Source organism: Homo sapiens, chromosome Y, assembly GCF_000001405.40.
Source record: "Homo sapiens chromosome Y, GRCh38.p14 Primary Assembly".
In the NCBI taxonomy this organism is placed as follows: Eukaryota; Metazoa; Chordata; class Mammalia; order Primates; family Hominidae; genus Homo; species Homo sapiens.
In genome coordinates, this window is record NC_000024.10 from 5497577 (window position 1) to 5515791 (window position 18215).

The 18215-nt window shown below is 34.1% G+C and overlaps 1 protein-coding gene across 5 annotated transcripts in view; it reads left to right on the plus strand.

Annotated features, from left to right (window-relative positions):
• Positions 1-18215, plus strand: part of PCDH11Y (protocadherin 11 Y-linked) — a 741933-nt gene that overhangs the window by 497281 nt on the left and 226437 nt on the right. For all 5 annotated transcript variants that reach the window (XM_017030079.2, XM_017030081.2, XM_017030080.2 and 2 more), the window contains one exon: positions 3481-3679. In XM_017030079.2, coding sequence (XP_016885568.1) covers positions 3481-3679 — 199 coding nt within the window. The remainder of the gene's footprint in view (positions 1-3480; positions 3680-18215) is intronic.

The following is an 18215-nucleotide window of genomic DNA, read 5'->3' on the forward strand; positions in this document are numbered from 1 at the left end:
TCTCCCATTCTGTAGGTTGCCTGCTCACTCTGATGATAGTTTCTTTAAATGTTGTAAATTTTTTATATATTATGAATTTCTACATAGATCCAACAAGCTATTGACAATGTTTTAGTTAGTTTATTTACAAGAATGCAAATGTAACCACCCAGTGGGTTCACCTTGCCCGCTGCCTAGAGAGAGCCAATTTATCAAGACAGGGGGATTTCAGTAGAGAAGGAGTAATTCACGCAGAGTTGGCTGTGTAGGAGTCCAGAGTTTTATTATTACTCAAATAAGTCTCCCTGAGCATTTGGGGAGAGAGTTTTTAAGGACAACTTGGTGGGTGAGGGGAAGCCAGTGAGCCAGGAGTGCTGATTGGTCAGTGGTGAAATCGTAGAGATTCAAAGCTGTCTTCTTGGGCTGAGTTAGTTCCTGGGTGGGGGCCACAAGATCAGATGAGCCAGTTTATCGATCTGGGTGGTGCCAGCTGGTCCATCAAGTGCAGGATCTGCAAAATATCTCAAGCACTGATCTTAGGAGCAGTTTAGGGAGGGTCAGAATCTTGTAGCCTCCAGCTGCATGACTCCTAAACCATAATTACTAATCTTGTGGCTAATGTTAATCTTACAAAGGCAATCTAGTCCCCAGGCAAGAAAGAGGTCAGCTTTGGGAAAGGGCTGTTAGTGTATTTGTTTTAAACTATAAACTAAGTTTCTCCCAAAGTTAGTTCAGCCTATTCCCAGGAATGGACAAGGACAGCTTGGAGGTTAAGAAGCAAGACAGAGTTGGCTAGGTTAGATACCTTTCACTGTCTCAGTCATAATTTTGCAAAGGCGGTTTCACAAAGGCTTATTTAGTACTCTGAGACTTTAGAGTTGAAGCAGCTAAACTTTTTATAAACTTTTATGAAACTCTGCTTTTGAAGAATACAGTATTGATGATTATTTCAGTAGCTCCCTACTAAATATCTTTAGTACTAATAAATGATAGATGACTGACAGGCTAGGTAATCCATGTATTTTAATGCCCTGTAATTCAGGTTAACATTCGGATTATGTCTGTGTAGAGGTGATCAGAAGACGACCTGAAGCTTTTATTTTCCTCTTTTCACTGTGGGTTCTAGATACAAAGACAAACAGAAAAAGGGATATTGACTAGGCAAAAGCATACAAAAAGGTATTTCAGTTACATTATTTCCCTGATAAATGCTTTAAATCTTAGAAAATACAGTGTGGTTTAATCAGATAATACAGTCAATCTCACTCTTCACAGCTTCCACACAACCTAACACTCATCCCCCAAAAAACTAAAACCAAGGCTGGGTGAGGTGGCTCATGCCTGTAATCCTAGCACTTTTGGAAGCCTAGGTGGGTGGATTTCTTGAGCTCAAGGGTCGAGACCAGCCTGGGCAACATGGTGAAACCCCATCTCTACCAAAAATACAAAAAATTAGCTTGGTGTGGTGGTGCGCACCTATGGTTCTAGTTACTTGGGAGGGTCGCTTGAGCCTGGGAGGTAGAGGTTGCAGTGAGCCAAGATTGTGCCATTGCATTCCAACCTAGATGACAGAATGAGACCCTGTCTAAAACAAAACAAAACAAAACAAACAACAACAAAAACCCCTGCCTTCTGAACTCCTCAATATTACTTAGTTCCAGCAAGCTTTTCTTTTATTCAGTTTATTTTCTGCTCATACTAATTCTGCTAAGAGTTACCTTAACCAACACCACCCACTACTCCCTCTGAGAGGCCCAAAGGAATCCTGTCTGGCTGTTACACTCACATGTAGAAAATCAGCAGACTATTTCTCATTAGAAGAAGTAATTTTATGTTCAGAAACATATTCCATAATATATATTACATATTACATGCATTAGTCATTTTCTCCTATTTTATTGAGACTTTAATATAAAAAATAATGGCTAAAAACTAAAGAAGATTCAAGTGAGCTACTTAAATATTTTATGCATCTATTATATTTTCATATATCTTCCAATAAGTTTGAAGTATGATATTCAAATCTTTTCATAGCTCCATCTGAAGAAATGGCTGACTGTTAGACCTGAATTTGTGAAAATATATGCATTCTGTTATGAAAATGCCTAGGATGTAAATTCTTCTCATCTTTGATATATGCAAATCTCTTAAATAAATTATACCTAATTTGAAGCTTTCATGCTGCCAGTAGTTTAGTGCTTTGGTTGATCTATTGTTACATAGCAAACCATCAGTAATCTTTGGGGACATAAAAATCAATAGTCCTTCTTAATTTTTAGGTCAGGAATTTAGGTAGTGTACAGCAGATATAGCTATTTCTACTCCACAATGACTGCTGCCTTAAGTAGGGGGTGCTCAAATGTCTGAAGATAGTTAGGATGACTCCAATAAGGCCACTAGCTGGAATGTTCATAATGGATTCTTCATGTACATATCCGGCACCTGAACTTGAGTGGCTGGAACAGCTGGGCCTCTCTCGGCATTGTAGTCTCTTTTTATACAGTCTTTCCACGAAGCTAGCTTGAGCTTCCCCACAGTATGGCATGCTCCCAGTACTCAAACTACTTTCAATGCAGCTGTAATTTTCCATGGTGAGTTTTCCAAGGGTGCAAAGCAGAAGCTACAGGGTTTGATTACAGAGTCTGTGCAGATTCAATGTGGTCTCAGGCTACTTGAAAGTCTGAATATCAAGAGGTGATGTCCATTGGGGAGCCTATTTTTGGAGACTACTACATATAGCATAGCAATGCTGCAAACAAAAATGCTGCTACAAGATCTGGTGAAGATGTTACAAACTTCTTCTTTCGGAAACCAAATGCTTCATCTTTATCTTTTTATTTGTATATATATTTTTATATTCTGCTAGGAATACCATTTATGATGATAACTATAATTTGTTTTCATAATTACCATTAACTGTTATCCATATTATGTAATTACTTTTTTCTTAGAAAGTAAAATCAATTTAAATAAATTCCAATTCAAAATTTTGTCTCTAAGATTCTTCTAAAGGATGATGTACTTTTAGTTTTCTAAGCCTACATGATTGAATAAATTTGTGTTATTATTCACAGTTTCAGCTCACTAGCAACTTACAGATACAGCAAAAAAGTATGGTTATATTTATCCACATTTATTACTCAAAAAATAAGTTATTGCCAAATAATACCTAAATAAATACATGTTAAAATTATGGTTGGAATTTCCAGTTTGCTCAAATGTGCTATAAAGCTGACTGTCTCTTGCTTTAGAACAAGTTGACTTTCATTCTGCATCTGGCTGTGCCTTGTTTTGAAATATAATGGAAGCAACACTGCCTTCAGGTGAAGAAGGTTTGAACACAGAATTGTGTTATTCACAAAAGCCTGAAATTGTTCACAACTCAAGATAATGTTAATGTGTCTTCACCAGATAGCCGAAATAATGCATTTTCTAAATTGCAGCATTAAGCAATGATTCAGATCATATCTGAAACCCTGTAATTTTCATTCTCCCTTTCAGTCCCAGCGGCGTGTCACATTTCACCTGCCAGAAGGCTCTCAGGAAAGCAGCAGTGATGGTGGACTGGGAGACCATGATGCAGGCAGCCTTACCAGCACATCCCATGGCCTGCCCCTTGGCTATCCTCAGGAGGAGTACTTTGATCGTGCTACACCCAGCAATCGCACTGAAGGGGATGGCAACTCCGATCCTGAATCTAGTAAGTGATACCTCTCTGGTTCCTCAATATAAACGGGCTTACTGTGTTTGCAACTCAAGCTATCATAGCCATAATAACATGGGCTAATTTATTATGTTATTGTGAATAGTGACACATTTTTGAAAGGTAAACATACAGAATTAGATGGATGGCAAGTATAAGGCAGTTTATAATATTTTAAATGTATGATCATAACTACGCTGAATGAAATTTATTATAGTGACTTTGTTAAGGCATAGATAGAATTTTCCATTTATGTACACCTGTAATTTATTTGTATATAAACAGCCAATTTATTTTATTTTATTCATTTATTTGTGAAGGTATAAATTTTTTCTTATATATAAAAATATTTCCTAGATTTTATTTTTATTTTTATTAGAGATAAAAACCATTGACAGTTATTTTCTTTCTGAGGAAATAAGAGATCCTGACTCCAATGTAGGAGAGGGCATCTGAGGTTTTCAGCAATATACTGAAATCACACACCTGTGCCATGTTACTGTTTAGAAAGGTATTCACATTTGGTCTTCAGACAGAAGGCACAAAATCTGTGTTTTGCAAATTCCAAAGATGTTGAACTCTTTAAAAGGATCATAGAGTTGATATTAAATAAAATTTCATTAAATGTATTATCTTGAACGTGTAGCGAACAACCTTGCTGATTTATAATTTCAGGAAATACAAAATTTGATAAGATATATATTTCTCGGAAGAGTCTTGAAATTGCAAGAAGCTACAATTTGCTCCATTTATGTTATGTACATAAAAGTATGTAGATACAAAAAAGCATACAATATATGTGAGAAAAAAGTCATAGCCATAAACCAATATGAAAAAAAATGGGCCAAATACCTGGCAAAAACATAAATAAGGTAATATAAACTAGACATTTTGAAAGGTTATTTTGAGCATTATGGATTGCAGGGATGTATAATTCAAATAAAGCTTCTAGGCTTTAGAACAAAATAGCTTCCCTATCATTGTATTTTAATCCTCTATTTTTGAAACTTCAAAAAATAGGGAAATGGATTGGCTAAACATTATGATATAATCTAAGGCTAAACATATGGAACCAATGACAACATAACATCAACTTTTTCTCTCTACAGATGTAGATGCTATATATTATAGGTATTTTTAATGTAAAAATATTAGAGACTTTTGAGTCAGCAAGTTCAGACAGTCCTAAAAATCTACTATCTCCATTTTCAATTTTATACTTGGAATAAATGATCAACATTTGTTCTGAAGATAAAAAATTCCCCTATACCTTGTGTCACTAAACTATCTTTAATTTACTTTGTTTAGCACAGCAAAATGACTCCTGGTAGAAATACATAGTTGTGATTATATTTACTTGTGTAATGAACTAAGAGTTAATCTCTAATAAGAATATGATCATAAGTAACAAATACACATTAAGCAAGGGTGCCACTGATCTTCTTTCCTCCATAAATCATTGTTTTAGTTGTAGGTCTATCATGCCCTGTTAAATAAGAATATAGAAATGGGATAAGTATCATTTTTATAAACTAGAAAGAGTTGATTCATTTGTACATGATGTGTTACTAAGCCTCTTTCATAGAGGATTGCATAGCAACAATTAAAGAGTAAACTCAGAGTAAGCATCCACAGTGCACATCTCACCCTGAAATAAAATTCCAACTGAATGAGACTCAAATGGAATACTGTTGATAATAGTAGGAGAATTGGTATGTGTCAGAAATAGTAAAACATTTAACATTAAATATAGCTTTATTAATCCCAATTATATTTAGAAATAAGTAGTTGTTTTAAAAAGTATTCAAATGCATAGTTCTTAACAGAAGCTGGTCTTGTTTATAGTTAAGGATATAAGTGCTAGCATCAATGTATTAGCTGACATACTTAGGGGCTTTTTTTAAAAAAGGGTGCTTTCTGTTAGGAGCTAAACATTTCTCTCTTCTAATTATATTTACACTATTATCTTGAACATTAAATATCTTGTTCATATTTACTCTACAGGATGAAGGACTCACAAAATTTGCATTAAAAACTTTAGTTGCTCAATCGATTTTATTTTAAAATCTAGATGTCTGTGGGCAATGATAATAGTAAAACAAATTGTATATTTTGCTGCTTATTATTTTAATAAACTTATGCAAAGGGTAGATATAATTAAAAATGAATGCCCATTTTCTACAAGTCTAACAATATTGTTAAGCGAATGTTTAAATGTTATTTTTTTACTATGAATAATACTAACAAACTGCTCTCCTACTAAATGTGAAACCTCCCCCTAAATCATGTTCCAAGAAAATTTTTGTTAGGAGTTTTGTTTTGGGACAGTCAGAGACCTTACTAAAAGTGCAAGAAGCACAATAATTTACTTGAAATGAAGCTCCATTGTCTTAATGTGTCACGGTAGTGAAATGTTTAACATAGTACGTGTGTGTGTGTGTGTGTGTGAGTGTGTGTGTGTTGTTTTAATTAAAAAGAAAAAACATAGCTGGTTTAGAATTGGCCATAGCAAAGTAATCTCTTTAGGCTAATACTGATGATAAGGTATTTTGATTCTTCAAAAAGCAAAGCTATAGCTCTGAAATAGCACCCGATAATGGGTTTTATGATATGGAGCAGATGCCAATAAACTGTGCATTGTTTGTCAATAGCACCACTGATAGGAATGTAAAGTGTTAGAGGAAATAAATGCTGTCCTTAAGCAATGGAATTAATTTATGCAGTTCCCATTTCACATTTTGAAATGTATTACATCTTCAATCTGCTTTCTTTCTTGCTAGTGAATTGCCAAAATAGCACATAGTTCTGCAAATCCTTTGTAAATTCACAAAACAGGAATAAACATGACATTTATGAATAAGGGTATTCTGTAAAATTTGCTAGAGGGATTTATTAATACTGCTTTAAAAATATAGTTCCCTGGTTGATAAAAATCTGCTGCTTAGGTGAAGAAATCACACAATTCATTCTCTTAAGTCTTTTGCCAAGACTATTAACTTTTCTTTTTAAAATAAAGAAAACAAACTCAAGCCAATTATTACTTTTTGAGGAGACAAAGTCAATAAAATATCCTGTCTCATTCCATCTGAAGACTTTGTAATTTTTAAATTTTATAATTGCAATCTCTTTACTGTGGCCATTGGACTAAGGGTCACTTAATGCCATTCTATACAGTTCTGTCTTCCTTGGATGACAGCTTATATTCTAGACCTTTCCTCCTACCATAGCCTCATCAGATTATTTACAATGAACCCTGCTCTTTGAAGCTAGTTAATTTGTTAAAAAGCAAAAACAAAATAGAAACCCAATTCAAAAACAGCACTATTGATTGCTGCTGGGTTACTGTGGATACTGGAACAGATAATGTCTGCATTTTCAAAGGATTTTCTTGAGACACATTCATGGAGACACATGTGGCCCTGGTAAAGAACAAGTTGTGAGTCTACTTTTGAGGATTTTACATATCCAGGTATAGTGTTAACTCAGAGATTTGAGGATAGTGAGATCCTCTTGGGACTACTGTAAACACATTAAACTATGTATGGCCCTATGCTCCTATCTACTTATTTTTAAGTAGTCTCAGGTAAAATATGATTTTTGAGGATATGATTTAAAAATGCTTTCCAATTTGTTTTCTAAATTTTTTTTCTGTTTTTATAATTCAGACTGAGTGCTGAGACATACAGAAATATTAGCAAATGTCTACACATTAAACTTCTGAGATTTTTTAATACTCTATGTTTATGAAGCCAGGGTTTTTATGTTTTGTCCTCAAATAGAGAATGCATTGCTGCTATTTCACTACAGGTAAGTTGGATCTAAAAGGGTAACTACTAATATTTTTACATTTCTACTGATCTGCTGGCATATTATAATTTTCCAGCTTCATTGGAAGAAATAAAATAGCCATAATTCTTTGGAAGATAAATGGTGAAATAGAGTATTGCTAAAGAGGCTCAAATCAGTCTTCAGCTTTCTAGTCATAAATCAGTACAATTGCAGAGAAAAATCCCCCTAAAATGAAGAGGAGAATGATTTAGTTTATATCAGTATTTTAATTTTCTTCAACTGAACAAGTTATGTCATCTGTATTTTTTAAAACCTCTTCATTGTATGTGATCATTTCACGCATGAAGTCACTCTATCTGAAAATGTTATAGCTGGTCTAGTGTCCAGCATTGAATCTTAAAGTAACAAAATACTTGAGTGAAATTTCTTCATCTTCCCCCAAAAAAGTTAATGCTTTTCCTCTTTTTGTATAACATAGTCATTTCTGTGATACAAAAGAAGAAAATATAGAGTTTCAAGAACATTTAGGGCTAAAAAATTATATGTTTAAAATAAAGATCAATATATGTTTTTATTAAAATGATGTCTGCTAGAGTTTATCTCATGTTAGCAAATCTGTTTGACATTCATTTTTATTTCAGTAGATCAGGTTTGCTTAGCACTCAAATACACTACTAATTAATTCACAACAAGGAAGTAATTAATCTTTCCCTGGCAAGGCACTTTGATTGATCTTCTACCAGTAATCCAATAAATTGGTATAAAAAGTGGGAGACCAATTTGATTGACTAGAATGAATTTCTACTCAGAGAAATGCCAGATTTTCTCCTGATCTGCTAAGAGTATTGACATGAATAACACTAGGGTAATTACTAGTAAGTGTTTGAACATCTCATTATTTGAATATCTAATTCTAAACATAGACTACTGGTAAAATTAAAAAATCAAAACCAAAAACTGTGAAACGTTAAAAGAATAAGCTAGTAATGGGTCATTAAAACTCAGCCTTTCATAATTAAAAACATTAGGAGTCAGTTGTCTAAAAGCAAAATAAAGCCATGGAAATATTTTTCCCTGGAAAATATTGATATACTAGTACCTTGGGGAAAGCAGTGATCTAATTATTTATCTAAAAAATTCAAGGAGAAAATATGATTCAATTATAGAAAAAAGGAGTAGTATTGGTTAGTATATTTAAGAGAAGAGTAACACTTCTGATGTGGCAGAAAATCATCTGAGTCCACAGTTCAGCTAATATTACCCGTATAACTGTTAATTAAGTGTTTTTGTTTGCTGCTATATGCCCAGGAAAATTTGACTCCATAGGCTTTCTAATATTTCTTTAAAATGCATTTTTGACGAAAGTCACATATCAATTCATGTATTACAATAAAAAGAAAAGTGAATGCATCATTTTGTTAATATTTTTACATGAAACAAATGGGAAATATATTCCACTTAACAAAAAGAAATTATGCTCCCTTTAAAGGTTAATTACATAGCAAGGCCAATTCTGACTCTGTAGGCTATGTATTTGTAAGATTATTTCTTAAAACTGTGCTCAGTAGCCTATATAATAGTGTCAGTCCATGGTAGAAAGGGGGGAGTAAAATAATTTAAATCAGCTCAGCAAGCTTAATGTCATGTGTTTTGAAAAATGAATCAATCAGTATTTCTAAGGAGTGATGTTATCATTATCAATGATATCAGTTATGGTCTATTTCAAGAAAGAGGTTGAACTCCATGGCCCCGGGTTCTGGAAATATAGGACATATGCCTGCTCTATTTCATTGCCTTGCCAAGAGAAAACAATATATAGCTTTATGCTGCTACTGAAAATTTAAAAATTTCCTTAATATTTATTAATATTTTTAAGGTAACAATAATATCAAAGTCACTTTTATTCTTTTTCAAATGAAATATCATTGTAATAATTGATACTGTCAATGATTATTACCAGTTTATTTTAGTCCGTGATGTGTTATGTAAATAGTGTTAGAAAAGTATCTATATATAAATAGGTTATAAAGAATGGTTCCACCCAAGAGTTCAGCCATCTGCCATTGTTTTAGAGAGAATAAGGTATACTTGGTAGTGACAGTAGTTTTTATAATAAATGTGCTTAGGCAGGTATAAACAGTGATCTGGTAGCAGATGCTCTGTGATGTATATTAATTTTACCATTTAAACTGACATGCTTTTCAAAAGTAAATCTTTCTCTATTGAAGCTTCTGAAAGTTTATAAATACATTATAATAAGAAAAATGGGTAAAACACGTCTTACGATACCATCCTATCATATTCAACTTCCCTATATAAGAGATGCAATCTCAATGTAGACCAATTGAAAAATGACTGCTAATTTGGAGTATATAGGCTTTGGGAAGGCAACAAAAGCTTTATGCTAGAGATAATCTTTAAACAATTATAGAGGTCATGAATTAAAATGAGAAGTATATCTTTAAAGTTGGAGACTTGAAGACATTTACAGGATTTTATTTGGGTGACAGTCTCTAAGATGAGTGTATCTTTAATATCTTAAATATAATATGGATTAGATAGAGGTTGATCACTCAAAAGCAGGCCACTATAAGTAAAGCAATCTCTTATCTTGTCTTTTCTGTTTGAAAGTGACAAGCACTAGGAGACTGGCACAAGCTGCCAGTTGAAAGCCAATGCCATAGGTCTGGAATGTCAATAAGCTTGAATAATCACCTAAAGTGGCAGAGAATAGGTGGCCTTCTCTTCACAATAAACCTTCTCTTGCTTCTAAATTTTATTAAGCTTCCTACACCAAATAATAAAGGTCATTTAACATTTGTGTTTCTATAATTTATGAGCCATGAGGCGATTCATTTTATGACAACATTCTTTCTTCTGCTTTTTAAAAAATCTTACTTCTCACTTTCCTTTGCCTATAAGACAGACTATTTGCCATTTGTTATTTTTTGTAGTTCTTTGAAAGTCAGTATAATCAGTCATTCAAGATGTAGCATTTGGGTGACTTGGAATATTTAGTAGTGTTAGCCACACATCAACTTCTTATTTTAAAATGATTTATAAATTTTAATGAATGAGGAGTATTATAGCAACATATTTTTAATCCCCATGACACTTTTAAAATTGGACAATAACTTGCAACTCTCATGATTGCTTTCATCAACAGAACATTCAACAACTGGTGAATATATCAAGGAATTCATTAAAAAATGAATAACTATAGACCATCTGTCTTACCATGATTTCTATGATTTTTTAATTTACATTTTATTGAATATTGAAGATGCCCAATAGAGAATAGAATAGAGATAACAGTGTTCGCTTAGCCAATTTTTTCTCTCTCTTAATCAATAATCTTAGAAATTGTTTTCCCAGTTCCACTAGGTACATGGTCTTTATCTGGCATTAATCAATCTTATATTGGAAATGTTTGTATGTTATCTAAACAAACTTTTTCTGAATAGTGTATATGAAATAAGCCATTAAAAGTTTAGTTTTTTCTTAGAAAATTCTTCTCTTGCAATTTGTATAGACCTGAAAGGCTGGTAATTTTAAATATTATTTTGGGGTATCTAATTATACGATAAAAATATTTGAACATTGAATACAAATTTTTATTGCGGTAATTCTTTGTGTAATCACTATTCATGAAACCTTTTCAGCACAGACCATTGTAGATAATTTGTTTTAGGCAATCATCTTACGTATTACAGAACTCTAGTCCGTTTACTACAATTAACTAGCTCTGTGAACTTGGATAGGTCTTTTAACTTCACTGTCTCTTTTTCTTAATTTATATAATGAAGGGATTATACGAATCTCTAGTGCCCCTTCTAGGGTCATAATTTTGTAACTATTAAAATCCCAGAATTTACATGTGCAGGTGTTGCCTTTTACATTGTCTTTAAATTCTAGAGCTCTCAGGGACCTTGGGTGCTATTTAGTCCAGCTCCCTCATTATGCAAATGAGATAACTGAGATTTGGCCCTTTTAAGCAACAACTTAATGTTCTAAATTAAGATTTGAAGTGTATCGTTTATCGTGTTCTAAAATAAGAGTCACTAATGTTGGTAAGCAGCTACTTTTGAAATTTAAATGAAACAACTCATGAGAGAAAAGTAGTATAAAATTTAGCATTATCATCACTCAAGGGGACTGTTACAATATATCCAAATGGAGAACTTTTTTATATGTGATGAGGCCCTTTATTTTTTTAAAAAGGTTCCTGTTTTAAAAATGCCCTGAAAGAGCATTTGGAGCAATACAGACTGCCGATTTCTAAAATTACTGTTTGTGCTAACCAGTGAAAGTACTGCAGAAAAAACTGTAAACATGCTGAATGATAATGATCTCTATGTCAGGAAAACTAGCCACTTTTCACTATGCTTATCTAATGTAGTTAAATTGTGTGTACGTGTGTGTATGATTACTTCCAGAACAACTTGGAATTAAAAAATGAATTTTAGAAGGTAAATTTCCTTTGAATATGATGAAAAGTGCATAAACAGAATCTCCAGGAGGAGAAACGCAGAATATGTGAATATATCTTTTATGCATTCTGCTGTAAACTCAGCTCTTCCTCTATATGAAATTCCTGTGTAACTCTATGCTACTTCTACTTTCCAGAAGAATGAAGTCTCAGTTAACAAGGAATTGATATTCATAGACTCAATCGACTGAGTTAATAGTGTGCCATATAGTCAAAATGTTTTGGGTAAACCCTATTATAATAGTCCTTTTTGGATAATGATTAGAACTTGAGATGAAAGCAGGATAACTTTTATAGTTATATAAATGTCCTATAAAAGTTATCCTGCTTTTGGCCGGGCACGGTGGCTCATGCCTGTAATCCCATCACTTTGGGAGGCCGAGATGGGTGGATCACCTGAGATCAGTAGTTCAAGCCCAGCCTGGCCAACATGGTGAAACCCCATTTCTACAAAAACACAAAAATTAGCTGGGCATGATGGTGGGTGCCTGTAATCCCAGCTACTTGGGAGGCTGAAGTGGGAGAATCGCTTGAACCTGAGAGGGGGAGATTGCAGTGAGCCGAGATGGCACCATTGCACTCCAGCCTGGGTGGGTGACAGAGGGACTCTGTCTCAAAAAAAAAAAAAAAAAAAAAGTTATCCTGCTTTCCTGCTTTTATCTCTAGTTCTAGTTCTAATGGATTGAGCAGAGTACAACTCCTTTTCATCTCTAGTTGTTTATCCTAGAGATGAAAAGGAGTTGTACTCTGCTCAATCCATTAAGTTATATGAAGTTTGTCTTACATATAAAGTCTGTTAGCTTTTATTTATACTAATAGATGACATCATAGAAATTGATGCTCTGGATTAAGAAAGTCATGCAAAAATAAAAATATTTTGAGAAGAATACTTGATCATCTTGAAAATAGCATTAGTTTTATAGGACAATATTATTGAAGCATGTAAAAAAAACAGTGAGTTTTAATTAACTTTTAGAAGATTCTACTCCTACTCCTTGGCTTATCAATAGTGCATTGCAAGGTTCACTTGGCTCACTATAATTTTTATTTTAATGATGTTGTTTTCCAGGGCTGAGTTTAGACTGTGATTTCCTTAGATTTATGCATGTAACTTAATCTAAAACTGAACCTGACAATTTTTTCTAACTGATTGTTCCATTTAACTGTATTCTGTCTCTTTGGAAAGTGTGTGTCCTCATATTGCAGAAATGCCTCTTAAATTTGATTTGAAGAAGGAGTCAATTTTTTTTTTGGGGGGTGGGGGAACGGAATCTCACTGTCACCCAGGCTGGAGTGCAGTGGCGCGATCTCAGCTCACTGCAACCTGAGAGGAGTCAACTTTACAGAGGTACATACATGTCTTCTACATTCTTTTAAAGAATGTAGCTAATTAATCTGATTTTTAAAGACTAAGTTAAATATTAACAAGGAATTCAGGGATCTTTGCCTCATTCAGACTGTAGTTACAAGGACAGAGTACTCATTAGAGATATTTTTGATATATGAATGCACCAAAGGCATTCTCAGTTGTTGGATAAATCATGTATTTGATTCAGCTGTTTGTGTTTGTTTTCTTCGTTCAGATAATCTTCTATAAAAGCTACTTTTACTAGCTTAAATCCATTGCAAACTTTGCAGTAATAATGTTTTCTAATTTCTCTTCCCCCAGTTGATTATGAATTATACTGGACAGAAGAACAGGATACATTGAAAAATTTCACACAAATATGTTTTTATTCAAGTAGAAAACTGGAGTTTTAGGATTTGACCCAAATTAAATCCAAATATTGAAATTTCAATTCAAAGTGCCATAGTATTGAACTATTAAGTCTTCCCTTCTGAAATAACTAGCCATTACATTTTTGCAAAACAGCTTAACTTATGAAATATAATATCTGAAATCCAAATATCATGGCGAAAGATCTTAAACAAAGTGAGCCCAATTCAATACCCATGTAACTTTGGCAAATATCCCCTCAGGGTTTCAAAGGATATGAACTGTGGCTAAGTAAAAAAACCTTTCATCTAGAAAGATCCCATAATGCCCAACAGTCTGAAGTGAATCTGTCTATGTGTTAGTACTCAATACAGGGTAAAAACATACTGCTTTCAGGGCAGAGAATTGGAATTTCACTGCACAAGGGAAATTTATCATATGCTTGAAACTGAACTTTCAGAGCTGCTTTAGCAATACTATTTTTTGCAGAAAGAAAAAAAAAAGTTGACCTTCAGAGACCTTGTTTTCAAAAGACCATGAATTTCTTTGTCTACTCCCAAAAAGATTTTTTTTGAAATCAGAGAATTTTAATACCCGTAAGAGATGCAGATATGTTTAATTCTCTTATATTCTGTTTCTTTCTTAGTCTCTTATCTACAAAACACATTTTAGTGGTTATTAAAGTATATAAGACTAAATAACTCGTTATGAAGAGAAGCATTCTATTGGAGTGGGACCAGATTGCCTAGAAGAGAATATCAAGTCTGCTCCTTCCTAGTAGTATGACATTTGACAAGACATTTAGGCTTCCTGTGCCTCAGCTTTGTGCATCCTTAAAATGAGAATAATAAAAGCAGTTGCTTTGTAGCATTGTTGTATTAAATGAAAGTGCATGTATTTGTCTGCATATATACATATATTTACAGCATTTAAAAATATTTTAGCCGGGCGTGGTGGCTCACGCCTATAATCCCAGCACTTTGGGAGGCTGAGGCGGGCGGATCCCGAGGTCAGGAGATTGAGATCATCCTGGCTAACACAGGTGAAACCCCGTCTCTACTAAAAATATAAAAAATTAGCCGGGCCTAGTGGCAGGCACCTGTGGTCCCAGCTGCTCGGGAGGCTGAGGCAGGAGAATGGCGTGAACCCGAGAGGCGGAGCTTGCAGTGAGCTGAGATAGCGCCACTGCACTCCAGCCTGGGTGACAGAGCCAGACTCCATGTCAAAAAAAAAAAAAAAATTATAAGATAATCATATTCTCACACAGCACTTTTCAGTTTCAAATGCATACAGACCACCTAGAAATTTTGTTAAAATGCAAACTCAGCAGTTGGGTATAGGGACCAGAGAGTTTTCATTTCTAACAAGTCCCCAGGGTATGTGAATACTGTTGGTGTGGGGGCTACACTTTGGGTAGCAAAGTTCTAACAAATGTGCTTAGCAGCTGACCCAGGTAAAGATGAAGGAGAGCAGAGCAGCAATTGGCCATGATAAACTGAGGCATTAAAATAACTCATGACAATCTGTCCTAAAGCCTCAGACACATTGTATTATATTTTAAGATACATAAAATTTTACCATACTGGAGTTTGTATTATAGAGACTTTGAGATAATTCTCATAGTAAAGTGCAGAAAAGCATTATAGAAAGTTTCGAAGGTCAGTACATATTTGCTTGATTCTTCAATAAAGAGACTTTCTCTTCTTTCTGTATATCTGTCCACACACACAAATGTGTACATGCGCACAAAAATCCACACATCTTATTTTTATTTATTTATTTATTTATTTATTTTGAAACGGAGTCTCGTTCTGTTGCCCAGGCTGGAGTGCAGTGGCGTGATCTCGGCTCACTGCAAGCTCCACCTCCTGGGTTCCCGCCATTCTCCTGCCTCAGCCTCTCGAGTAGCTGGGACTACAGGCACTGGCCACCACGCCCGGCTAATTTTTTTTTGTATTTTTAGTAGAGATAGTGTTTCACCTTGTTAGCCAGGATGGTTTCGATCTCCTGACCTCGTGATCCGCCCGCCTCGGCCTCCCAAAGTGCTGGGATTACAGGCGTGAGCCACCGTGCCCGGCCTTTTTCTGATAATTTTTATTTGAAAAACAATGCACTCCATTTATACGTCACCCATGTCATCTAGGTGAATATAAATGCCATTTTTATTTTAGGTGTTCAACTATAGGCAAGCTCTTCATTTCTAGGAAACTGATCAGAAGAATAACAGGGCAGATAGGGCATTCGCAAAGCAGAGTACCAGCTGCGCTGTCAACTAATCAAGTCAGCAAACATCTCTGCAGGTGAAGTCATTGTGATTCCTATTAACTCAAGCAGATTAAGAATTCTTCTGGATCATTGCTAGTGTTGATGTGTCAACTTTTGCAAACAATTATCAGACTGGGAAAGGTGAACAAAGGAAGCCAAGAAAGTCACAGGAAGTAGACAAAAAAGATGCAGATAAGTTTTCCATTGAATGTGGGGTGCTGGACTGTTTTATTTGACCACTTTTGCCTATATCCAGAAGAATTTGTTTGTTGTGTATGCAATTGAGTCATAGAAAAGAAACGTCCTGTTGTTAAAGTTCTCATAGTTTTGGGAAACATATTTGCTTAGCTATTCAATGTGGATATATTCTATGATAGGAACTTTAATTAGGTAACTGCTGATTATGTGTAAGTTTTATTTCTTTTTTTTATCTCATTGCTTACTTATATATCCTAGTTTAATTCCAAAGAGTGAAAAAATATTGACTGATTATTTGTTCTTGCATCTTTTTTAATTATCACCATTCATTTTCATTGCAATCTCCTTCTCCCAGTATGTTTTATGAGGCTTTGTGCCTTGAGTGTAATGGGCATAAAATGAAGGGAAGTCTATGTTTTTAGTATGCATGATGTTTTCTGAATATAGATGCTTAAGGAAATTGTAGGCAGGTGTGTTTTCATCTCTCACACTATGTGGCTTTTTCTATTCCATGGTAGGAATCAAAGATAGCCAAGTTAAGAACATTGTGGCTCATTGGAATTAGAACTTCATGCAGTTTAAAACTGATTATTTTATTTGTTTCAAATTATTTTAGCATTCTCAAATTAACCATCCAAAGTTTCCCCAGAGATGAATAGTTTCACATCTTACAATAGCACCAGCAATAATAAATATATAGTCAACATTTTCCTTTTTTCATATTTAAATGTACAGACTACTTTTTGAGATGTTAGAAAAAGTAGATTGATAATGTGTCATTGCAAACTTATAATCAGGCTTATTGTCACATAGGCATAAGCACAAATAAACATTCCTCCTCAAGGTGTGGAGGAATATTGAATATATTGAAGATGAAGCAAACTAACTCTCAACAGGAAGGAATAATAGTATACTTGGCATCTTTATAACTCCAAATCATCACGGAAGTAAAACATTTTTAATATTACATTTTTTTCTTGTGTAGACATGGCAGCACAATTTTGTTTTACTTCATCACAAGAGTGTTTCATTGCAAATTTTAAGAATATTTTTATAATTTTCTTTACAATGGCTGTATTACATGAGACCAAGCCATTTCATTGTAATATTTTAAGGTGATTTATTGCTAGTAACCACAAGGCAATATGCCATCTTTTATTAAAAAAATTCCACAGGAAGCATAATGACTATGTTTTTTAATCAATGCAATTTGTTTTAAAGGATTTTATCTTGAAGTTAGTAACGAAACTTCTGTACATCTGGAATGCTGAATGTCCTATCAGACTTCAGCCTGTGCTGATATATAACAAGTATAAATATATCTAATGAAGATAGTTTTAGGCAAATATGAGGGTTCTGGAAGCAATAATTTGAAGTTTTGAAAAATTACTATGGATCAAATGATAACGCTTCATTTGTATTCTGCTTTTTTGTCCTTGGATCTACGTTTTTACTTTAAGCAAATGTAAAAATGGCTGTAAAGAGATATAATCATTTTTGTGAAAAAGTAAATGGCCTTAAGCTGGTTACATGAATTAATCCTTCATGTCCTTTACTCCTTTCTGCTTTTGAAGGAAAGATTAATTCCGTTATCAAATTAACACGTGCACAAATATTTGGTACTGTATATTCAGTGGAATGAATATGATTAGAAAAAAGGGGACCTGATATACAGTCTAGGTTCTGTCAATAACTCTGTAACCTAGGTGACACAAACAAATGGAAAAACATTCCAAGCTCATGGATAGGAAGAATCAATATCATTAAAATGACCGTGTTACCCAAAGCAATTTACAGATTCAATTCTATTCCTATCAAACTACCGATTACATTCTTCACAGAACGAGAAAAAGGCTATTTTAAAATTCATATGGAACCAAAAGAAAGCCTGAATAGCCAAGGCAAATCTTAAAAAGAACAAAGCAGGAGGCATCACACTGCTCTAATTCAAACTATAGTACAAGGATCCAGTAACCAAAACAACATGGTACTGGTATAAAAACAGGCACATAGACCAGTGGGACCGAATAGAGAGCCCAGAAGTAAGGCCACACACATACAATCATCTGGTCCTT